A 24820-nucleotide genomic window follows, 5' to 3' on the forward strand; every position below is an offset into this window, starting at 1 on the left:
TTATGTTATGGAGATGGCTTCTTTCCTTCGACCTCATAAACTAACCTCTGCTGGTTTCAAACTTTTCTTTTGCAGCATTCTCACCTCTCTCAGCCTTCATAGAATTGAAGAGAGGCATCCGGGTGTGGTAGCTCACGCCTGTAATTCCAGCACTTTGGGAGGCCAAGGCAAGTGGACCATCTGAGGTCAAGAGTTCGAGACCAGGCTGGCCAACATGGTGAAACCCCGTCTCTACTAAAAATACAAAAATTAGCTGGGCATGGTGGCGAATGCCCGTAGTCCCAGCTACTCGGGAGGCTGAGGCGGAGAATCGCTTGAACGTGAGAGGCAGGTGTTGCAGTGAGCCAAGATCGCGCCACTGCACTGGAGCCTGAGTAACAGAAAGAGACTTTGTCTCAAAAAAAAAAAAAAAAAAAAGAATCAAAGAGAGCCCTTGCTCTGGATTAGGCTTTGGCTGGTTTGATCTTCTATCCAGACCTTTCTTCATGTCAGAAATGAGACTGTTTCGCTTTCTTATCATTCATGTGTCAATGGAGTAGCACTTTTAATTTTCTTCAAGAACTTTTCCTTTGCATTCACAATTTGGCTAACTTAGCTAACTTAACTTGGCTAATTTGGCATATGCTTAATCATTTCTTCCTTTCCTTGAAAGTACGATTCTTTCACTTGGACACTTTGAGGCCACTGTGGGGTTACTAATTGGCCTAATTTCAATATTGTCTTATGTCAGGGAATAGGAAGGCCCAAGGAGAAAGAGATGGGGAATGGCTGGTCAGTGGAGTAGTCAGAACACACATGTTTATGGGTTAAGTTTGCTGTCTTATATGGATGTGGTTCATGTCAATATAACAGATAAAATAATAATGAAAAAGCTTGAAATATTGCAAGAATTACCAAAATGTGACACAGACACACAAAGTGAGCACATTTAATGTATCCAGTAAAAACCAAAGTGTTTCTTACAGTCTCTGATGTTTCCTTCTGAGTAATTGGTCATTGGGAGCTGTGGTTACACATAGCTGAGTGAAGCGGACACTTCTGTGAAGGCATGGCTTGGCTCTTGCTGGGAAGTTTTCTGTTTCCTGGCCTGTTCCTGTCTCTCTTCTCCTCTCCATACTTGTTGGGAATGGACCTCATACCTCTCTGGAATGATGCAGTGCACCAAACAGTGAAGAACTGTTGTTGTTTTTAACTGATTTACATAACTGATAATAATATCATAGCTAACATTTATTGAGCTCACCATATGCCAGGTATGAAGCTTAGCACTTTACTACGTTCATTATTGCATTTAATTCTCTCAACAAACTTGCAGCGCATATGCGATTCCACAGGAGAGAGCTCTATTTCTTTTGGTTGAAAAGTTCTTTCTAATACTTGCTGAGCTACAGTAAACAAATATGTCTATTAATGCCATTGGGAATTTGGAAGCAAAGTCTTAACAAAATATAGACAATTCATTTTTGAATAATTGTGATTTGATTATGCTTTTGGGGAATATCAGATTAACAAAGTGGGTTTGTTTGTAAGGATTAGTTTGCAATTCAGGCTCATAGAATTTTTGTGTGTGTGTATACAGTTGTATCGATTTTATTTTATTGAGATGGAGTCTTGCTCTGTCACCCAGGCTGGAGTGCAGTGTTGCAATCTCGGCTCACTGCAACATCCACCTCCCAGATTCAAGCGATTCTCCTGCCTCAGCCTCCTGAGTAGCTAGGATTACAGGTGTGCACCACTACACTTGGCTAAATTTTGTATTTTTAATAGAGACGGGGTTTCACTATGTTGGCCAGGCTGATCTCGAACTCCTGACCTCAAGTGATCCACTCACTAAAGTGTTGGGGTTACAAGTGTGAGTCACTGCGCCTGGCCAGTTCCATGAATTTTAACTTGTAAATAGATTCATATAGCCACAGCCACTATCAGGAGGTAGACCAGTTTCACCACTTCAGAAATCTCCCTTGGTCAGTGCTACTCTTTGTAGTCAGAGCCACTCCCACCTCAGCCTCTGATAACCAATGATCTATTCTCTATTACTATAGTTTTGTTTTATTTTTTTCTTTTCAGGAATGTCATATAAGTGGAATAAAACAGTATGTAACCTTTTGAGATTGGGTCCTTCAGCATGATGCCTTGGAGATTCATATAAGTTGTTACATGTGTCAATAGTTTGTTCCTTTTTATTGCTGAGTATTATTCCACTGTATAGATACATTGTGGTTGCATTAATCAGTTCACCTACTGAAGAACATGAGTTATTTTCAGATTTTGGTGATTATAACTAGAGCTTCTATAAGCATTCATGTACACTTACGTTTTCGTGAAGTTTTCATTTTTCTAGAGTAAATACTTAAGAGAGTGGGGATACTAGGTCATATGGTAAGTGTATGGTTAAGTTTTCCAGAGCAGCTGTACCATTTTGCTTTCCCACTAGCAATGTGTAAAAGTTCCTGTTGCCCCTATTCTTTCCAGCCCTTGGTATTTGACAGTTCTTTTTTTCTGTTTTTTTTTTTTTTTTTTTTAGACGGAGTTTTGCTCTTGTCCAGGCTGGAGTTCAATGGCATGATCTCAGCTCACTGCAACCTCCACCTTCCGGGTTCAAGTGATTTTCCTGCCTTAGCCTCCCGAGTAGCTGGGATTACAGGCACCTACAACCACACCCGGCTAATTTTTTGTATTTTTAGTAGAGACGAGGTTTCGCCATGTTGACCAGGCTGGTCTCAAACTCCTGGCCTCAGGTGATCCACCCACCTCGGCCTCCCAAAATGCTGAGATTTCAGGCGTGAGCCACCACGCCTGGCCTTGACAGTATTTTTAAAATTTTAGCAACTCTAATAGGTGTGTAGTGATATCTCATTATGGTTTTAATTTGCATTTCACTATTGACTAAGAATATTGAACATCTTTTCATGTGCTTGTTTGCCTTCCATATATTCTCTTTGGCATAGTGTCTTTTCAAGACTTTTGCCCATTTTTAATTGGGTGTTTCTTTTCCTAGGTAAGTTTTTTTGTTTTGTTTTGTTTGTTTGCTTTGAGACGGAGTCTCGCTCTGTCACCCATGCTGGAATGTAGTGGCATGATCTCGGCTCACTGCAGCCTCCACCTCCTGGGTTCAAGCGATTCTCCTGCCTCAGCCTCCTGAGTAGCTGGGACTACAGGCACATGCCACCATGCCTGGCTAATTTTTGTATTTTTAGTAGAGACAGGGTTTCACCATGTTGGTCAGCTGGTCTCAAACTCCTGACCTCAGGTGATCCACCTGTCTCGGCCTCCCAAAGTGCTTGGATTACAGGCGTTAGCCATCACACCTGACCTATTTTTAAATTTTATATTAATATATTAACTGGATTTTTGTCAAATAGAGAATTATCTTTAAATAACCATCTCCTCACTTCACACTTAGTCTGGGAAAAAATGAGAGCAAATTTCTGTGCATCCAGGGAGCATATCACCAACCAGGCATGAAGCTTAAAGGGAGAGTGCAGGCTGAGTGGCCAGCAGGCCATGGGCATCCCACAGGGCCAGGCCAGGACCCAGGCTTCAGCGACCCTTCTCCCAGCCCACCTAGTGGCCCTCAAATCCATGATGGGACAGACATGCATTCTCCTGTCCCAGTTGAGAAGCCCCTTCTAGATGGAAGGGAGAGGAGAAAAGCCATAGGAAAGAAATCCCAGAAACACTAGCAGGTAAGTACAGGGGCTTCCTCCCCAGCTGCGGTGACCTTGCTCCTGATAACACCCAACCCCTGGAGCTCTTCGCCAGTGTGCCTGGGGCTGGAGCCTGGCGGGGAAGGGAATGTGGGCTCACAGTTTCTGGATGTTGGCCTCCCACAGCTTGGCACAGACCAGGGGAAGGCATGTGAGGAGGGCCTGGGGAGGTCCTCGGGGAAGATAACACAGCTCAGGAGGTTGAGTGTAAAGTGGCTGCCAGACCAAGGGAGCTGGATGGACTGTGAAGGAGGAGGTGGCTGGAGAGCCTCCTCCATGTAAAGCTACTAGAGCAAAAATAGAACAAGGGGGGACACCCGTGCCCCAGAGGACAGCCCTAAAGATGGTAACGGGGAGCACGGCTGAGCAGCGCCCTGGATTCTGAGCTAGTGTGGAAAGCTGGGGGCCAGGGGCCTCTCTCTTCCTTCATCACCAGTTGCTGGTAACTTTACAGTCAGATTTGGAGGAGGAACAAGGCCCTCCATCGCCTCCCCTAGCCTCTGATGCTGCCCCAAGGGGAGGGGTAAGAATGGGCAAAGAGGGTGGGAAACAGGGAGGTGGGAGGGAGTCTACTGGGTCTTCTTATTTTCAGAGGAGGGGGCTGTAATAGTGTAGTGGCAGAGGCTGGTTCCTAGGTATGTAGGTGTTGTGTGGGTTGCCTGGCACTGACAACTGCTTCTGTGGCTCTGGCTTTGGCTGCCAGAGCAGAGGGGCCAATGGGGCCACTGACCAGAGGTTCCATGAGCCCAGATAGGGCAGTGGCAGGGATTGCAGGCATCCCATAGCTCCATCCATCATGGGAGGTCCTGGATAGAACTCAGATGGGGACTGTGGATTGGGGTAGCCAGGAGGGCAAAGGTACATTCCATTGGCAACTGGCAGAGGAAAGACATAGGCTCTGTTGGGTATGTAAGAGTACCCGTAGCCTCCATTGGGGGCCTCGCCCCTGGAGGCTTGAAATGCCACCTGGAGCATTCATTGTCCAAACTGCTGTAAGGTTAACTTGTATGAACCCCAGCCCTCCCAGCCATCTCCCGCTTCACCCTTCACTGTTCTTTTGAAGTAGTTGGCAGCAAACAGGCTAGTTGATCTCACAGTCCTTCATCAGGTGAAAAGGCATCACGAAGGCTTCATGGAGTTCTTCTTCTTGGACAGAAAGATGATCGGTAAGGGGTAAGGTAGACGATGCCTTTCTTGGTCCCTTTGAAGGACTCTGGCACATTCTTCTTGTCATTGAATGTAAGTTCCACATGGACGTAGGACATTAGGATGTTCTTGGTGTTCTTGATCACTCTGCCACCCTTTGAGTGATTCTTGTTGAGCACGATAGTCTCTTGGAAAGGGGTCCTAAGACTCTCGATGCAGGGCCTTGAGTTCGTTTTTGCATAAAGGAGTTGGTTTAGATTGAGGTTCCTTTTTTTGGCATATAAATGTCCAATTGTCCATTTGTTGAAAAGACTACTCTTTCTCCATTGACTTGCCTTTGCACTTTTGTCAAAATTTATTGGCCATGTTTGTGTAGGTCTATTTCTGGAATCTGTATTCTGCTCTATTGATCTGTGTGTCTATCCTTTCACCAATACACACTGTCATGAAGTCAGAGAGGTAACAGGAAGCCAGATCATGTAGGGCCTTGTAGACCATTGAAAGGATTTAGGCTTTTATCTTGAGTGAAATGAGGAGCTACAGGAAGGTGCTGGGCAAAGGAGGAACCTGACTTTATTGAGGCAAGGATAGGAATGTGAGGTTACTGCAGTCATCCAGATATGCAAAAATGGTGGATTGGACCAGGATGATGGGTAGAAGTGGTGAAAAGTAGTCATATTCTGAATAATTTTTGAGAGTAGCCCCAATGGGATTTTCTAATGGGTTGAATGTAGAGAATGAGAGATAGGCATGAGAAAAGAACTCTAGTCTGAGGGTTTAGCTTGACCAACGTGAAAAATGGAGTTATCAATTGAGATGGGAAAACCTTCAAATGAAGCACATTTTAGGAAGGAAGGTCAGAAGTTCAGTTTCGAACATGTTAAGTTTTAAATTTCTATTAGAGGTCCACCTGTGGATGTTGAGTGAATAGTGGGTGATAAGGGCTAAGAGCTTGGGAGAGAGGTCTGGGAATGGAGGTATACATTTTGGATCCTGGCGGGGCACCTGGGATCACGCCTGTAATCCCAGCACTTTGGGAGGCTGAGGCGAGCGGATTACTTGAGGCCAGGAGTTTGAGACGAGCCTGGCTAACATGACAAAACCCCATCTGTACTAAAAATACAAAAAATTAGCCGGGCGTGGTGGTGCATGCCTATAATCCCAGCCACTCAGGAGGCTGAAGCAAGAGAATTGCTTGAACCCGGGAGGTGGAGGTTGCAGTGAGCCGAGATTGTGCCACTGCACTCCAGTCTTGGCGACAGAGCAAGACTCTGTCTCAAAACAAAAACAAAAACAAAAAATTTTTGGATCCATCAGTAGATAGATGCTATGTAAGGCCATGGCATTGGTGAAATCACCAAGGGCAGATATGTAGAGAGAAAAGGGCAAGCACTGAGCCCTGGGTCACTGCAGCATTGAGAGGTGGGGGACAAAAAAAGAAACTGGTAAAGGAGACTAAAAAATAGTAGTGAGGTAGAAAGAAGGTAGACAATGCTTTCTGAGAGCCAAATAAGAAAATGATATCCAGGAAGTAAATGATCAACAGTGCGGATGCTGCTAATAAGTCAAACAAGACGAGGACATATATTGACCATTGGGTTTACGAACAAGGGGTCATTGGTCACCTCAGTGAGAGAAGTTTCCATAGAGTGTTGGGAGAAAAAGGCTGAGGATAGTAAGTTTAAGAGAGAATAAAAGGAGAGGAATTGCAGGCAGAGAATAGAAGCGTTTTTCATGGAGTCTGTTTGCAAATAGGACCAAAGAAATGAGGAGGTAGCTAGGGGACGAGATGGGCTCACGTGCAAGTTGTTGGGTTTTATTCCTTTTTAAGATGGAAGAAATAACATTTGTGAATGCTAATGGCCATGACCCCATAAAGTGGGAAATTTTAATGATGTAAGAAGGAAAGAGAAGAAAGCCTAGAGCAATTGATTTCCTTGAGTAAAGGAGAAAAGGATGGAATCTAGTACAAAAATGGAGGGATTGCCCTTAGAAGGAGCTAGAAAATTTAATATATGGTAACACTTGGAAAAGCAGAATATGTGGATGTGGATGCCAGCATATGGGTAGATAGATGTGAGTGAAGCAAGTCCTCTTCAGTCTGCTTCCATCTCCTCACTGCGGTGGAAGCAAGGTCAGCAGCTGAGAGGGAAGGTAGGGGAGGGGCTGAGATTTGAAGGGACAAAAGTGGGCGATAATCACCTGGGAGAGTGAACCGTAGGAGTCATGGGAGTGAGTGCCTGCCATAGGAGAGAAGATCCCTCAAAAAGAGGAATTCAGGGCTGGATGCAGTGGCTCCTGCCTGTAATCCTAGCACCTTAGGAGGCTGAGATGGAAGGATTGCTTGAGCCCAGGAGGTCAGGACTGCAGTGAGCCAAGGTCACACCACTGCACTCCAGTCTAGGCAACAGAATGAGACCCTGTCTCAAATAAATAAATAAATAAATAAATAAATAAATAAATAAATAAATAAGCAAGCAAATAAATAAATAGGAATTCAAGAATTGAGATCATCTGTGTGGGTATTGAGAATGCCAGGAATTAAGACCAGAAATTCTAGAGATGATGGCAATGGCAATGAGAAATGAAGGGGAATGAGTTGGTGTTTGCTACATAACAGTAACAGTGCTGGATAGCGGATGATAGAATCTGATGACATGAGGTTTAAAGCACAGAATTTTTAGAGAGGAGAGAAGGAGAATGCTCTGAAAGCAGCCACGTGGAGCAAAAGCGGCGTCTGTCTCACCTCACTTTCCAGCCATGTGGAGCAAAAGGGGCATCTGTCTCAGGCCCAGTGGCATGGGAGTGAAATAGCACTTCAGAGAGTTGCAGGGGAAACAGTGTCCCCAAGGGAGAGTCAGGTTTCTGTTAAAGGAAGGTGCATTATGCACATCTGTGAAATTATCATGACTGCTGTCATCCCATCTGCTCATAGAACCAGTGAATATTGATTGGTCATAAAATGCAAGCATTATTTTAAGGAGCATGGACATTTAATTTCTCTTTTAAGGACTGGAAATAATTTTTTCCATGATTTGGAAAGTGATATTATATTTGTCAATGAGAAATAATGTAATAGCTTTTTAATAGTTCACAAAATGATGTCAGTTGCTCTTTATTCAAAAATATCTTTAGCCTTTTTGAGGTTATTTTGGGGAGATGATAAGGACAGGCATCTCCATAATCCCAAATATTTGGGAGAAAACTTCAAAAATTAAAGCGTATTTAGGCTGAGCATGGTGACTCATGCCTGTAATCCCAGCACTTTGGGAGGTCAAGGTGAGTGGATCACTTAAACCCAAGAGTTTGAGACCATCCTGGGCAACATGGCGAAACTCTGTCTCTACAAAAAATACAAAAATTAGCAGGGCATGGTGGCGTGTGCCTGTAGTCCCAGATACTCGGGAGGTTGAGGCTGCAGTGAGCTGTGATCATACCACTGCACTCCAGCCTGGGTGACAGAACAAGACCCTGCCCCCTACCCCCTCCTCCAAAAAAAGCATATTTAAATATTCCCAGAATCCAAATGTTGAACATCATTTGGACACAGCTTCAAAATGGTACCAATTCTTTTAATTTGTGACTGCTTTATTTATTTATTTATTTATTTATTTATTTATTTATTTATTATTATACTTTAAGTTTTAGGGTACATGTGCACATTGTGCAGATTAGTTACATATGTATACATGTGCCATGCTGGTGCGCTGCACCCACTAACTCATCATCTAGCATTAGGTATATCCCCCAATGCTATCCTTCCCCCCTCCCCCCACCCCACAACAGTCCCCAGAGTGGGGTTCCCCTTCCTGTGTCCATGTGATCTCATTGTTCAATTCCCACCTATGAGTGAGAATATGCAGTGTTTGTTTTTTTGTTCTTGTGATAGTTTACTGAGAATGATGGTTTCCAATTTCATCCATGTCCCTACAAAGGACATGAACTCATCATTTTTTATGGCTGCATAGTATTCCATGGTGTATGTGTGCCACATTTTCTTAATCCAGTCTATCATTGTTGGACATTTGGGTTGGTTCCAAGTCTTTGCTATTGTGAATAATGCCGCAATAAACATACGTGTGCATGTGTCTTTATAGCAGCCTGATTTATAGTCCTTTGGGTATATACCCAGTAATGGGATGGCTGGGTCAAATGGTATTTCTAGTTCTAGATCCCTGAGGAATCGCCACACTGACTTCCACAAGGGTTGAACTAGTTTACAGTCCCACCAACAGTGTAAAAGTGTTCCTATTTCTCCACATCCTCTCCAGCACCTGTTGTTTCCTGACTTTTTAATGATTGCCATTCTAACTGGTGTGAGATGGTATCTCACTGTGGTTTTGATTTGCATTTCTCTGATGGCCAGTGATGGTGAGCATTTTTTCATGTGTTTTTTGGCTGCATAAATGTCTTCTTCTGAGAAGTGTCTGTTCATGTCCTTCACCTACTTTTTGATGGGGTTGTTTGTTTTTTTCTTGTAAATTTGTTTGAGTTCATTGCAGATTCTGGATATCAGCCCTTTGTCAGATGAGTAGGTTGCGAAAATTTTCTCCCATTTTGTAGGTTGCCTGTTCACTCTGATGGTAGTTTCTTTTGCTGTGCAGAAGCTCTTTAGTTTAATTAGATCCCATTTGTCAATTTTGTCTTTTGTTGCCATTGCTTTTGGTGTTTTATACATGAAGTCCTTGCCCATGCCTATGTCCTGAATGGTAATGGCTAGGTTTTCTTCTAGGGTTTTTATGGTTTTAGGTCAAACGTTTAAGTCTTTAATCCATCTTGAATTGATTTTTGTATAAGGTGTAAGGAAGGGATCCAGTTTCAGCTTTCTACATATGGCTAGCCAGTTTTCCCAGCACCATTTATTAAATAGGGAATCCTTTCCCCATGACTGCTTTATTTCTGCATTAGACAATAAGAAGGGGCCGAAACTTCTGGCCTGATATGACAGTGACATCAACCTCTTGTGTAGTAGCCTGTCATTAAGCCAGCGCCAAATGGAAAATTAAATGGAAAATGGCAGAGAGCATTGCCCAGGACATAATGTAGAAATGGCAACTCTGGCACTGACATAGGTTTAAAAAAATTATGTTTTAAAAGTAATCTTGCTGGGAGGCCAAGGCGGGCATATCACTTGAGGTCAAGAATTCGAGACCAGCCTGGCCAATATGGTGAAACCCCATCGCTACTAAAAATACAAAAGTTATGTTGGCATGGTGGCGGGCACATGTAACCCCGGCTACTCTGGAGGCTGAGACAAGAGAATCGCTTGAACCCAGGAGGAGGAGGTTGCAGTAAGCTGAGATTGTGCCATTGCACTCCAGCCTGGATGACAGAGCAAGAGTCTGTCTTTAAAAAAAAAAAAAAAAAAGTAGGCTTACACATATTCCCTTTACTGTTTTTCAAGGTCATTACATTTTTATCTGTTATTGTTCACCATTTAAAAATAAGCAGTGGAAAGCAGCCTACTTTTTAAAATGCGGAACTCGTATGGTGTACTTAGCATATATATAAGGATTTCTGTCCTCTCTCTTGCCTCCCTCCCTCCCGTTCTTCCCCCTTCCTCCTCCTTCCTTCCTTCCTTCCCTCCCTCCCTCCCCTTTCCTATCTTCTGAGTAGGGTCAAACACCAGTTCTCTACTTCTCGGACCATAAGAATAAAGATCTGTGCACAATCCATTTTGTACATATTGATTCTTGGACTAAAAATAGCTCAATTTGGTTTCAAACTTTTTCTCCCACCCTAAGTTCAGGTTTTGTTCCTTGTGCAGCCTGGTAGGCGGGCAAGTAATGCATAGTCAGCATTCCATCTGGGATGCTTACTGGACAATTTTAATCTTTTTTTTACGTCTTGACCTCTATTTCCAAAGAGCATCCCAGTTGGCAGGTCTAGCCTGATTAAGATTCTGTTCAGGCATTTAATTCTCCTAAGGGAATTTACAGATTAATCTAAAAATCAAGGATACCAGAATCTACTCAGGACTTAACTTCTTGAAGGTTATAGGAAACATATACTTGAGCAACCTAATGAATGAGCTTAGTGATATCGTAATGAATTTTTATATATACCTCAAATTACACTTTTTAATGCATATCCAACAAAAATATTTTTAAAAACAAATACTGTAGACCTAACTGGATTAGCTGTATTAGTAGATCCAAATTTAACTTTCAATTTGAATTAAGTTAGAACACTATGGATCTCATAAGGCAGGCTATATATTGATTACCTAGTTAGCCAGCTTCCATATCACCACTTGTTCAGGAACATTAAAAGTACTTTTTTAGAAATAGTTTTCTGATATATTTTTGGTTTCACTAAGACAGCTTTTTAAAAAGCAAAATTAGGCAGGGCGTGGTGGCTCACGCCTGTAATCCCAGCACTTTGGGAGGCCGAGGCGGGCAGATCACCGGAGGTCGGGGGTTCAAGACCAGCCTGATCAACATGGAGAAACCCCATCTCTACTAAAAATACAAAATTAGCCAGGTGTGGTGGCTCATGCCTGTAATCCCAGCTACTTGGGAAGCTGAGGCAGGAAATCACTTGAACCTGGGAGGCGGAGGTTGTGGGGAGCCAAGATCGCACCACTGCGCTTTAGCCTGGGCAACAAGAGCAAAACTCCGTCTCAAAAAAAAAAAAAGAAAGAAAGAAAGAAAGAAAGAAAAGCAGAATTATAACTAAACACCACTTTTTTTTTCTTTCTTTTTTTTTTTTTTTTTCTGGAGTTAGAGTCTCTCACTCTGTTGCCCAGGCTGGAGTGCAGTGGCACAATTTTGGCTTGCTGCAACCTCCACCTCCTGAGTGGAGGTTACTCAGGCAATCCTCCTGCCTCAGCTTCCTGAGTAGCTGGGACTACAGCCATGTGCCATCACACCTGAATAATTTTTATATTTTTTGTAGAGACAGGATCACCCCATGTTGCCCAGGCTGGTCTCAAACTCTTGGGCTCAAGCAGTCTGCCTGCCTCAGCCTCCCAAAGTGCTGGGATTACAGGTGTGAGCCACTGTTGCCAGCCTAAACATCTCGTCTGAGGCTATCACAATATATACTATTCTCCAGCCTACAGTAGATTATAGACATCTAGAATATAAAAATTTGTTTCCTGATAGGCTTGGCACACAATATTCCTACAGTCCTTTGAAAACACACATATTAACAGAGTGACAATATTTACAGGCAGAATTACTCATGTGTCTTATTGTAGCTTACAGGAGAGTGTGTCTGTCTAAGAATGGGGTAGAGGTTGGTTTGTAAAAACAGGTGTCCCACAAGCTTTCTTGGATAGTTAACTCAGTAGTTAGAATGAAGGATGTAAAATAACCTGTCAGGATAACACCTGCTCTCTTGCCCTCAACAATTAATGATAATGAAACTAGGCCTGAAGAGGAATAAAAATCTTGTATCATCTTTGAATTAGTCTTTTGTTGGTCGTGCGTTCCAATGAAATGATGTTTCACAACCTTTTCTTCATTATCATCTCTGAAAAGATCCTTTATGGCTATTTTTTTTTCCTAGTTGCCACAAAATTAAACACAGGCATACTGTGTCTTACTGTGCTTTGCTTTCTTGCTCTTGGAAGATATTGTGGGTTTTTTTTTTTACAAATTGAAGGTTTGTGGCACCCCTACATTGAGCAAGTCTACTGGGACCATTTTCTTTTCAACAGCATATGCTCCTTTTATGACTGTGTCACATTTTGGTAATTCTTACAGTATTTCAAACTTTTTCTTTTCTTTTTTTTTTTTTTTTTAGACAGAGTCTCGATCAGCCACCCAGGCTGGAGTGCAGTGGTGCGATCTTGGCTCACTGCAACCTCCGCCTCCCAGGTTCAAGTGATTCTCCTGCCTCAGCCTCCCAAGTAGCTGGGACTATAGGTGCATGCCACCACACCCAGCTAATTTTTTTGTATTTTTAGTAGAGACAGGGTTTCACCATGTTGGCCAGACTGGTCTCGATCTCTTGACCTCGTGATCTGCCCTCGGCCTCCCAAAGTGCTGGGATTACAGGCGTGAGCCACTGCGCCTGGCCCAAACTTTTTCATTATTGTTATATCTGTTATGGTGATCTGTGATCACTGTCTTTGGTGTTACTATTGTAATTGTTTGGGGATGGCCTGAACTGCATCCATATAACACTTAATTGAGGCCAGGTGTGGTAGTTCACGCCTGTAATCCCAGCACTTTGGGAGGCTGAGGTGGGCAGATCGTGAGGTCAGGAATTCGAGATCAGCCTGGCCAACATAGTGAAACCCCATCTCTACTAAAAATACAAAAAAATTAGCTGGGTGTGGTGACGCACACCTGTAGTCCCAGCTACTTGGGAGGCTGAGGCAGGAGAATCGCTTGAACTGGGGAGGCGGAGGTTGCAGTGAGCCAAGATCATGCCACTGCACTCTAGCCTCAGTGATAGAGCAAGACTCCATCTCAAATAATAATAATAATAAAGACTTAATTGATACTTAATCCATAAATGTTGTATGTGTTCTGAGTGCTCCACCCACCAGCTATTTCCCATCTTTCTCCTCCTCCTCAGACCTCCCTATTCCATGAGACACAACAATATTGAAATTAGGCCAACTAATAGCCCTACAATGGCTTCTACATGTTCAAGAGAAAGGAGGAGTTGCACATCTCTCACTTTAAATCAAAACATAGAAATGATTATGCTTAGTGAGGAAGGCATGTTGAAAGCCTAGATAGGTCAAAAGCTAGGCCTATTGTGCCAAACAGCCAAACTGTGAATGCAAAGGAAAAGTTCTTGAAGGAAATGAGGAGTGCTATTCTGTTGAACACACAAATGATAAGAAAGTGAAACAGCCTCATTGCCGATATGCAGAAAATTTGAGTGGTTCTAGATAGAAGATCAAACCAGCCATAACATTCCTTTAAGCCAAAGTCTAATTCTTTTTTTTTTTTTTTTTTTTTTTTCAGAGTCTTGCTCTGTTGCCCAGGCTGGAGTGCATTGGCACAATCTCGGCTCACTGCAAGCTCTGCCTCCTGGGTTCACGCCATTCTCCTGCCTCAGCCTCCCATGTAGCTGGGACTACTGGTGCCCGCCACCATACCCGGCTAATTTTTTTGTATTTTTAATAGAGACAGGGTTTCACCATGTTAGCCAGGATGGTCTCGATCTGATCTCCTGACCTTGTGATCTGCCCGCCTCGGCCTCCCAAAGTGCTGGGATTACAGGTGTGAGCCACTGTGCTTGGCCACCAAACCCTAATTCAGAGCAAGGCCCTAACTCCCTTCAATTCACTGAAGGCTGAGAAAGGTGAGGAACTTGCAGAAGGAAAGCTTGAAGCCAATGGGTTGGTTCATGAGGTTTAAGGAAAGACACCATCTTCATAACATAAAAGGGCAAGTAAACAGCAAGTGCTGATAGAGAAGCTGCAGTAAGTTATCCAGAAGATCTAGCTGAGATCATTGGTAAAGCTGGCTTCACCAAATAACAAATCTTCAAATGTAGATGAAACGACTTTGTATTGGAAGAAGATGCCTTCAGGCTAGGACTTTCATAGCTGGAGAGGAGAAGTCAATGCTTCAAAGTTTCAAGGGACAGGCTTTTGTCCCTTGGGCTCTTGTTAGGGGCTAATACAGCTTGTGACTTTGAGTTGAAGGCAATGCTCATTGAACATTCTAAAAATCCTAGGGCCCTTAAGAATGATACTAAATGTACTCTACTTGTACTCTATTAATGAAACAACAAAGTCTGAATGACAGCACGTCTGTTTATAGAGTGGTTTATCAAACGTTTAAAGCCTGCTGTTGAGACCTACCACTCAGAAAAAAAGGTTCCTTTCAAAATATTACTGCTCATTGACAGTGTACCTGGTCACCCAAGAGCTCTGAAAGTATAAGGAGATGACTGTTGTTTTCATACCTGCTAACACAACATCCACTGGGCAGCCAATGGATCCAGGAGTCATTTTGACTTTCAAGTCTTATTATATAAGAAATACATTTTATAAAGATATAGCTGCTGTAGATAGTGATTCCTCTGATGGATCTGGGCAAAGTCTATTGAAAACCTTCTGGAAAGGATTCACAATTCTAGATACTGTTGGGAGGAGGTCAAATTATCAACATGAACAGGAGTTTCGAAGAAGTTGATTCCAAACCTCATGGTGACTTTGAGGGCTTTAAGACTTCAGTAGAGCAGGCTGGGCATGGTGGCCTATAATTCCAGCCCTTTGGAAGGCTGAAGCGGGTGGATCACAAGCATAGAGTTCAAGACCAGCCTGGGCAACACAGTGAGACCCCCATCTCCTAAAAAGGATTTTTTTTTAAGACTTCAGTAGAGGAAGTACTCGTAAATATGGTGGAAATAGCAAGAGAACTAGCATTAAGAATGAAGCTTAAAGATGTGACTGAATTGCTGTAATCTCATGATAAAACTTGAATGGATGAGGAGTTGCTTCTTATGGATGAGCAAAGGAAATGATTTCTTGGGAGGGAATCTATTCCTGGAGAAGACACTGTGAAAGTTGTCGAAATGACACCATAGGATTTAGAATATCCCATAAACTTAGCTGATAAAGCAGGGGCAGGCTTTGAGAGGATCGACTGCAATTTTGAAAGAAGTTGTACCATGAGTAAAATGCGATCAAACAGCATTGCATGCTTCAGAGAAATCTTTCTTCACAAAAGGAACAATTGGTGCAGCAAAATTAATTTTCTTATTTTAAGAAATTGTCAGCCGGGTGTGGTGGCTCACGCCTGTAATCCCAGCACTTTGGGAGGCCAAGGTGGGCAGATCACCTAAGGTCAGGAGTTTAAGACCAGCCTGGCTAACATGCTGAAACCCCATTTCTACTAAAAATACAAAAAATTAGCCGGGCATGGTGGCACGCCTGTAATCCCAGCTACTTGGGAGGCTGAGGCAGGAGAATCGATTGAACCCGGGAGGTGGAGGTTGCAGTGAGCCGAGATCGCGCCATTGCACTCCAGCTTGGGCAACAAGAGCAAAACTCTGTCTCAAAAAAAAAAAAAAAAAAAAGGCTGGGCGCAGTGGCTCACGCCTGTAATCCCAGCACTTTGGGAGGCCGAGGCAGGTGGATCATGAGGTCAGGAGATCAAGACCGTGCTGGCTAACATGGCGAAACCCCGTCTCTACTAAAAATACAAAAAAATTAGCTGGGCGTGGTGGCAGGTGCCTGTAGTCCCAGCTACTTGGGAGGCTGAGGCAGGAGAATGGCGTGAACCTGGCAGGCGGAGGTTGCAGTGAGTCAAGATTGCACCACTGCACTGTAGCCTGGGTGACAGAGTCAGACTCCGTCTCAAAAAAAAAAAAAAAAAAAGAAAAGAAAGGAAATTGTTGGCCGGGCGCTGTGGCTTACGCCTGTAATCCCAGCACTTTGGGAGGCCGAGGCAGGCGGATCATCTGAGGTCAGGAGTTTGAGACCAGCCTGATCAACATGGAGAAACCCTGTCTCTACTAAAAATACAAAATGAGCCGGGCGTGGTGGCGCATGTTTGTAATCCCAGCTACTCGAGAGGCTGAGGCAGGAGAATCACTTGAACCCAGGAGGCAGAGGTTGCAGTGAGCCGAGAGCGCACCATTGCACTCCAGTGCAGTGGAGTGCAGTGGTGCGATCTCGGCTCACGATCGTTAGCGTTTTTTAACACTCAAGTGTTTTTGGTTTTGTTTTTTGAGTTGGAGTTTTGCTCTTGTTGCCCAGCCTGGAGTGCAACAAGAGCTGGCATGATCTCAGCTCACTGCAACCTCTACCTCCTGGGTTCAAGTGATTCTCCTGCCTCAGCCTCCCAAGCAGCTGGGATTACAGGCATGCACCACCACACCCGGCTAATTTTGTATTTTTAGTAGAGATGGGGTTTCACCATGTTGGTCAGGCTGGTCTCAAACTCCCAACCTCAAGTGATCTGCCCGCCTCATCCTCCCAAAGTGCTGGGATTACAGGCATGAGCCACCATGCCTGGCCCACTCAAGCATTTTTTAATTAAGGTATGTATTTTTTAGATATGGTATTGAACACTTAAGAGACTACAGTATAGTGTAAACATAACTTTTGTATGCACTAGAAAATAAAAATTTCATGTGACTCACTTTTTTGAGATATTTGCTTTATTGCAGTGGTCTGAAACCAAACCTGTAATATCTCCAAGATATGCCTGTACTGAAGAGTAAGATTTTGTCAGTTAGAGTTTAATCTTGGAAAGACTACAAACCACTGTAATAACCTAAGCATTATTTGATTCCCCAAGGACCAATTTTCACCCCTTTGGGGGCCATATTAATTTTTTATGGCTGCTATACCAAAGTACTATGAATTTTATGGCTGAAAACAGCACGAACTTATTCCCTTGTAGTTCTAGAGGCCGGAAATGCAGTTCACTGGGGGTAATGTCAAGGTGTAGGGCCATACCCCCAGGAAGGCTCTGGGGAAGCGTACATTTCCTCTTCCAGCTTCCATCTTTTTCTGGCTTCCAGACTTGCATTCTGTGTGTTCACTGACTCATGTCTGCTTCCTCCATCTTTCAAAGCCAGCAGCCGTGTAGCATCTTGTTTCAATGTCACGTTGCCTTTTTCTTCTGTCAAGTCTCCCTCTGCCTGCCTCTCATGAGGACAGTGTGATTACACTTAGGGTCTACCTTGCTAATTCCGGATAATCTCTGCATCTCAAAATCCTTAATTTAATCGTATCTGCAAAGCTTGTGTTACCATATAAGGTAAGAGTCACAGGTTCCCAGGATTAGGAACTGGATATCTTTGGGGACCAATACTCAGCCACAGAGGTGATACCACTCCCCACCCCTTAAAAATGCATGTTCTACACCAGTAAGGAAGAAAGAAAATAAGAAAGAAGAGTAAAAGATAATAAATATGTAACTTTGGCTACAAATGAATTCTTTATTATATCTCATTCTATTTGGGGCACTTGCTATTAGAACAAAGAGAGAAGATATATTTAAAATTAATAGGATTCAGAAGAGTAGAGTTGATGATGTTCACCTCATTGCGATGTACTCACCCATTCATTTATTTTGCATTACCCTTCCTGCCTGGGGCCAGTCAGCAGAGGAGGGCAGTGAGTCACTCCAAGGTCAGACAGTATTATTACCCTCTTATTGTGATGGGCAAATCCACCATTAAGCTTCAGATTGAGAGAAACACCATTGAGTTGGCAAATGCTTTCGATGTGTACGTGCAGAAAGTCATATGTATCTACAATTTTCCAGACAGCGGCAAAGAGAAATGGAAACTCTGTGCTGTATTTTAATTGGCTGCAAAATGTTTCCTTCAGAAATTACCATTCCATTAAGCACCTACTCTGTGCAAACGCTTTGCAAACACTGCTGGGAATAGCTGCATGTATAAGGGCATGCCTACCTTTATTAGACTGTTCAGGGGAATAAAATGAAGTTACAATTTATTCTAATACTAGAATGCAGTTCTCTCCCCATGGACTGCACCTTTCAGGATAGTGGCCTGAATCAGAGCAGAAAACACCTGCTGGATATCCTCCAAGTACACAGTCTGATTAGTGCCCTCTGGGAAACATGGAGGCAGATACTACTTGGCTCTCCAGCCTAAGGGAAGTATTATTAATTAAAAACTTAAAGCCAGGTTCTTCTCTGTGTATGGTTATGCATGTCCTAGATGGCCTTGAAATTGATCTGTTCTCCATTAGCAATCTGTGAATTGTACTCCTGTCTGAAATTGAGTAGAGGTCAGAGCTATGAAGGTTGAATTCAACAAGAATTTTTATGAAGTATAACTAGAGTTAGTGCTCTGCTCTAACTGCTTTTGGAGACAGACTTTCCCCAGTGTATCCCATCAAATCACAGACTAAAAACAGTCTATTTCCCCTTATTCTTGGCCAGATAGGACCTAGGCACCTGAATTTTTTTTTAAACTAGATTTCCAGGAAATTTTATTGAAGGCTAACAGCATAGCATTTCATGTTGGATAAAGAAGATGCACAAGACGGGACATGGTAAGACACACCTGTAATCCTACCACTTTGGAAGGATGAGGCAGGTGGATCACTTGAGCTCAGGAGTTCAAGACCAGCCTGGGCAACATGGTAAGACCCTGTCTCTCCAAAACAAACAAACAAACAAACAAAAAAACAAAAATTAGCTGGGCATGATGGTGTGCACCTTTAGTCTCAGCTACTCGGGAGGCTGAAGTGGGATGATCACCTGAGCCCAGGGAGGTCAAGGCTGCAATGAGCCATGATTCCATCACTGCGCTCCAGCCTAGGATACAGAGTGAGACCCTGTCTCAAAAAAAAAAAAAAAAAAAAAAAAAAAAGGCCATATGCAGTGGCTCATGTCTGTAATCCCAGCACTTTGGGAGGCCAAGGCAGGTGGATCGCTTGAGGTCAGGAGTTCGAGACCAGCCTGGTCAACATTGTGAAACCAGTCTCTACTAAAATACAAAACAAATTAGCTGGGCATGGTGGCAGGCACCTGTAGTCCCAGCTACTAGGGAGGCCAAGGCAGGAGAATTGCCTGACCCCAGGAGGCGGACGTTGCAGTGAGCTGAGATCGTGCCACTGCACTTTAGCCTGGCCGACAGAGCGAGACTCTGTCTTAAAAGAAAAAAAAAAAATTCACAAAAGAAAAATTGTATTAAGTACAATTTAATATAATTTCTTACAAGTTTATTACCTAAAACTTTGCAAATAATTGAAGTTAGAAGCTTTGGATTTTGTTTTTAGAGCTTAATCCTTTTCTGTAAGTGGAAATCCTTTCCACTGGTTTATTTTCCTTTTGATTTTATTTTACTTTGACACCCTAAAGGTTTAGTGTTCCTGTTTTTAAATCTACTGATCGTTTCTTATGAGATTCCTTAGAGTGCCCTTTAAGTATGCACAGATTTTGCAAATGCATTCATTTTCTTATTTGCCAGGGTTTAACACTGGCTATGCACATGTTAGCTGAATAACCTTAGGCAAGTAAATTATCCTCTCTGGGCCTCGATCTTGTTAGCTATTAAGTGGGAATAATGACAATTCCTAACTCAAGGGTCTGTTGTGAGGATTAAATGAGTCCTTACATGTGACATACTTGAAATAGTACCTGGTGCAGAGTTAGGGCTGGGTGAGTGTTAGCTATTGTATTATTATTTCATTGCTGTTTGCATATATTTTTAAAATGTATTTAGGATTTTCTTTTTTTTTTTGAGACAGGGTCTCACTCTTTGCCCAGGCCGGAGTGCAGTGGTACGATCTTGGCTCACTGCAACCTCCACCTCCCAGGCTCAAGAGATCCTCCCATCTCAGCCTCCCAAGTAGCTAGGATTACAGGCACGCCCCACCATGCCTGGCTAATTTTTTTTTTTTTTTTTTTTTGTATTTTTGGTAGAGACAGGGTTTTGCCATGTTGCCCAGGCTTGTCCCAAACTCCTGAGCTCAAGCGGTCTGCCTGCTTTGGCCTCCCAAAGTGCTAGGATTACAGGCATGAGCAACTGCGTCTGGCCAGGGTTATTTCTTAGGGATAGCATTCCAGAAATATAATTAAAATTTATTGATCCAGAAATATAATTAAAAATAATTGATCAAATGGTAGAAGACTTTTTAAATTTATATTTCATCAATTTTACACATTTGTTAGGTTTTAATGTTTCTACTACTTGTGTGTGCCAAAAAATTATTGATTTTCTTAATCGTTTTCTATGAGTAGAAATCCTTTCCACTGGTTTGTTATTTTCCTTTTGATTTTATTTTACTTTTGACACCCTGAAGGTTTAGTGTTCCTGTTTTTAAATGTACTGATTGTTTCTTAGGAGATTCCTTAGAGTGCCCTTTAAGCAGAGAATATCTTTCCCTCTCCTTCCTCTTCCCTTCACTCTTCTCAAAACTATAAAAATATAATACTCATTTCTACCTGTTTTCGTGGCTTTTATACTTTCAATGTGTTCATCTACATGAGATTTAGTTTGATGTGTGGAACAGCAAGAGAGTTTAAATTAAAAATCTTCCCCTAAATGGCTAAATGTCCCAGTGCCATTTACAGTGTGGTACCCCTCCTGTAATAAGAATATTACATTCTTATCCGTATTAATTATTTCTTATTCAAACTTACCAGTGGCATTTAAGAAATCATTAGTTCAGTTGTTTATAGGTAAGAAGACTCATTCTTTATCTGCTATTTCAAAATTAAAATCATTGTCTTTCATAGATATTTTCTGAAATGAAATATGGAAAACAATTATTTTTACAATGAGACTTGGAAAAAAATCAATACTAAGTTTCTTTTGTATACAAGATAGCCAATAATACCTAGGCCTAAAACGTTCCAATCTAGTTTTTTGTCTGCTAATAGGTGCTCAGTATGACGGAGCTTTTCTTGAGGACCATTTGACCCTGTGTCTCTCTTTGCCTTTCCCCTTATGAAAATAAGCTGACCCCTACATCCAATCAAATCATCATAGCAAGGTTTTCATCATTTTTTATGGAATGTCAGCCTTGCCACCTGCTTGCCTGGTACCCAATACATATAATCTCTCTTCAGGCTGCAACACACAGCACTTGAGGCAGGCTGTCATTAATTGGAGTTACCTCCAATTGCCTACTTCTTATTCTATTCCTATCAAAAACCCAGCTGACAGGTACACAAGGGGCATAGCCCAAATTACATGTAATCCATAAATCTCTCCATTTTTTCTTAAGTCTTAGTTTTCTCTTGATATAGGATTTTTTTTTTTTTTTTTTGAGATGGAGTCTCACTCTGTCGCCAGGCTGGAGTGCAGTGGCACGATCTCGGCTCACTGCAACCTCCACCTCCTGGGTTCAAGCGATTCTCCTGCCTCAGCCTCCTGAGTAGCTGGGACTACAGGCACGTGCCACCATGCCCAGCTAATTTTTGTATTTTTAGTAGAAATGGGGTTTCACCATGTTGGCCAGTATGATCTCAATTTCTTAATCTCGTGATCTGCCTGCCTTGGCCTCCCAAAGTGCTGGGATTACAGGTGTGAGCCACCATGCCCGGCCGACATAGGCTATTTTTTAAAATGCAAGCTCTTCTGAACCATATAATATGATGTTTTAAAATATAGACTCTGAAGACAAAGACCTGGGCTCAGAATCAGGCCCCACCACTTATTTTCAATGGAATCTTGTCTGAATCTTGTAATCTTTCCAAGCCTCAGTTTTTTCATCTGTATAATAGGGATAAAAATAATAGTAAACAAATAAATGTATTTCTTTTGAATATCTAGTAGTATTTTAAAAATCAGATAACTAGAATTATATAACTCTATGTGCTTTATTTTTTACTTGTTTGCTGGGAATCAAAGAGCTTAGTTTTGTTTTTTGTTTTTTTTTTTTTTGAGACGGAGTCTCGCTCTGTCCCCCAGGCTGGAGTGCAGTGGCGCGATCTCAGCTCACTGCAAGCTCCCCCTCCCAGGTTCACGCCATTCTCAAAGAGCTTAGTTTAAGCTCAATTCAAGTGACTATTTGAGGCCTGGTCAGGATATCTGCTGTTATTTGGAACACAAGCTGTTTGCCCAGGACTAAGATCAAGTGATTTTCCTAAAGCAAACAGTGTATTGAATGTAATCCAAATCATCAGCAGGAACAAAGGAGGCCATATAGCTTAGCAATTAAGGCATGGGATCTGAAGTCAGAGAGACTTGGATTTGAATCATGGCCCTGACAAGTTACGTGCCTCTCTCTGCCTGAGTTTCTTCATCTGTTAGATGAGCATAATATTGCAATATAGTGTTACTTTGAGAATTAAATGAGGTAATGCAAAGCTCTTAGAGTAGTTACTAGGATAAGTGTCCAATTAACCATAGTTTAAGAAAAAGGATAAGCTGGGCACGGTGGCTCATGCCTGTAATCCCACACTTTGGGAGGCTGAGGTGGGCGGATTGTCTGAGGTCAGGAGTTCGAGACCAGTCTGGCCAACATAGTGAAACCCCTTCTCTACTAAAAATACAAAAATTAGCCAGGTGTGGTGGCGCACACCTGTAGTCCCAGCTACTTGGGAGGCTGAGATGGGAGAATCGCTTGAACCCAGGAGGCAGAGGTTGCAGTGAGCCGAGATCGTGTCACTGCACTACAGCCTGGGTGATAGAATGATACTCTGTCTCAAAAAAAAAAAAAAAAAAAAAAAAAGGAAAAAGGATGAAATCACAACTTGGAGCAAAAAAACCCAAAGGCATATTTAAAGATTTGCGTATTGGGTTAAAACAAGTTTTAACATCTGGAAAGAAAAAGCATCCATCAACTTTTCTTATCAAGAAATATGAATTATAGCCAGGTCCAGTGGTGTGTGCCTGAAGTCCCAGCTGCTTGGGAGGCTGAGGCGGGAGGATCACTTGTGACTGGGAGTTTGAGAACAGCCTGGGGAACATAGTGAGAACCCATCAGGAAAAAAAAAAAAAAAAAGGTTGATTAAAAAAAGAAAAACAAAAGAGGCCAGGCACGGTGGCTCACACTTGTAATCCCAGCATTTTGGGTGGCCAAGGTGGGAGGATCGCTTGAGGCCAGTGATTAAAGACCAGCCTGGACAACATAGTAGGACTCCATCTCTATAAAAATTTTAAAAATTAGCCAGACATGGTGCCGTGTGCCTATAGTCTCAACTACTTTGGAGGCTAAGGCAGGAGGAATGCTTGAGCCTGGGGGGTTGAGGCTGCAGTGAGCTGTGATGGTGTCAATGAACTCTATCCTGCAGTACAGAGTGAGACCTTGTCTCAAAAAAAATCATCTTTACAGTTATTTGATTATTTGCAGATTTTCAGTGTTTATTGTTTTTACTTTCCTTGCCCCACTATTCTGCATTCATCAAATATTCATTGAACACTGTCTTTTTGCCAGAGACTGCTGTAGGCACAAGAGATACAGCAAAAAACAAGACAAAACCCTTGCTCTCATGAAACTTACAGTCAAGTGTGTGAGATGGACATAAACATAGTACTGTGCTGTCATGTTGTAAAATGGGACCTCTCATTGAGAAGCTGGGTTGGTTTGGGGGTGGGGAGTATGACATCAAGAGTTCTGTTTTGATCATGTTTAGTTCAAGATGCCTGTTATGGTCAGGCACCGTGGCTCACACCTGTAATCTAGAACTTTGGGAGACTGAGGTGGGTGGATCCCTTGAGTTCAGGAGTTTGAGACCAGCCTGGGCAACACAGCAAAACCTTGTTTCTACAAAAAATACAAAAATTAGCCCGGTATGGTGGTGTGTGCCTGTAGTCCCAGCTACTAGGGAGGCTGAGGTGGGAGGATCACTTGAGTCATGGTAACAGACTCGCTCTGGGTTTCGCTCTGGATGACAGAGCGAGACCCTGTATCAAAAAAAAAAAAAAAATGCCTATTAGACCTTCAAGTGGTGAAGACAAGTAGGTAATTGGATACACAAGTCTGGGCTCAGGGTAGAGGCTGGGCTAGAGAAAGAAATTTGGGAGTCATCAGTGAATAGATGACATTTTAAGCCATGGGCTTGGAGGAGATAACCTAAGGAATGACGAGAATACATCTGAAGATCCAGCCTCAGACACTCTGGTGTACAGAAGCAGGTAGAGAAAAGGAGAAACCATTAAAGACCTCTGTTGGGCCGGGCATGGTGGCTCACACCTGTAATCCCAGCACTTTGGGAGGCCGAGGTGGGCAGATCACTCGAGGTCAGGAGTTCAAGACCAGCCTGGACAATATGGAGAAACCCTGTCTCTGCTAAAAATACAAAAATTAGCTGGGTGTGGTGGTGCACACTCACTTCACTCTAGCCAGTAGTCCCAGCTACTCAGGAGGCTGAGGCAGGAAAATTGGTTGAACTGTGAGGCAGAGGTTGCAGTGAGCCGAGATTGCACCACTGCACACCAGCCTGGGCAACAGAGCAAGACTGTCTCAAAAAAAAAGAAGACTGAGTGTGATGGCTCACGCCTGTAATCCCAGCACTTTGGGAGGCCAAGGCAGGCGGATCACCTGAGGTCAGGAGTTCAAGACCAGCCTGACCAACATAGTGAAACCCCGTCTCTACTAAAAATACAAAAATTAG

The 24820-nt window shown here is 42.8% G+C and overlaps 1 protein-coding gene and 1 pseudogene across 31 annotated transcripts in view; one reads left to right on the forward strand and one right to left on the reverse strand.

The window, feature by feature from the left end:
* Window positions 1-24820, forward strand: part of BICD1 (BICD cargo adaptor 1) — a 276787-nt gene that overhangs the window by 116273 nt on the left and 135694 nt on the right. Inside the window, exon 3 of one of the 31 annotated variants that reach the window (NM_001413178.1) lies at window positions 76-967. The exons of the other annotated variants lie outside the window; for them this stretch is intronic. Within the exon in view, the coding sequence (NP_001400107.1) occupies window positions 76-102 (27 nt within the window). The 3' untranslated portion in view covers window positions 103-967. Of the gene's footprint in view, window positions 1-75; window positions 968-24820 lie in introns of those variants that run through there. 31 annotated transcript variants of the gene reach the window in all.
* LOC100420186 (WW domain binding protein 2 pseudogene) lies at window positions 4305-5035 on the reverse strand (annotated as a pseudogene).

The sequence above is a fragment of the Homo sapiens genome, chromosome 12 (genome assembly GCF_000001405.40).
Source record: "Homo sapiens chromosome 12, GRCh38.p14 Primary Assembly".
NCBI classification, from domain to species: domain Eukaryota; kingdom Metazoa; phylum Chordata; class Mammalia; order Primates; family Hominidae; genus Homo; species Homo sapiens.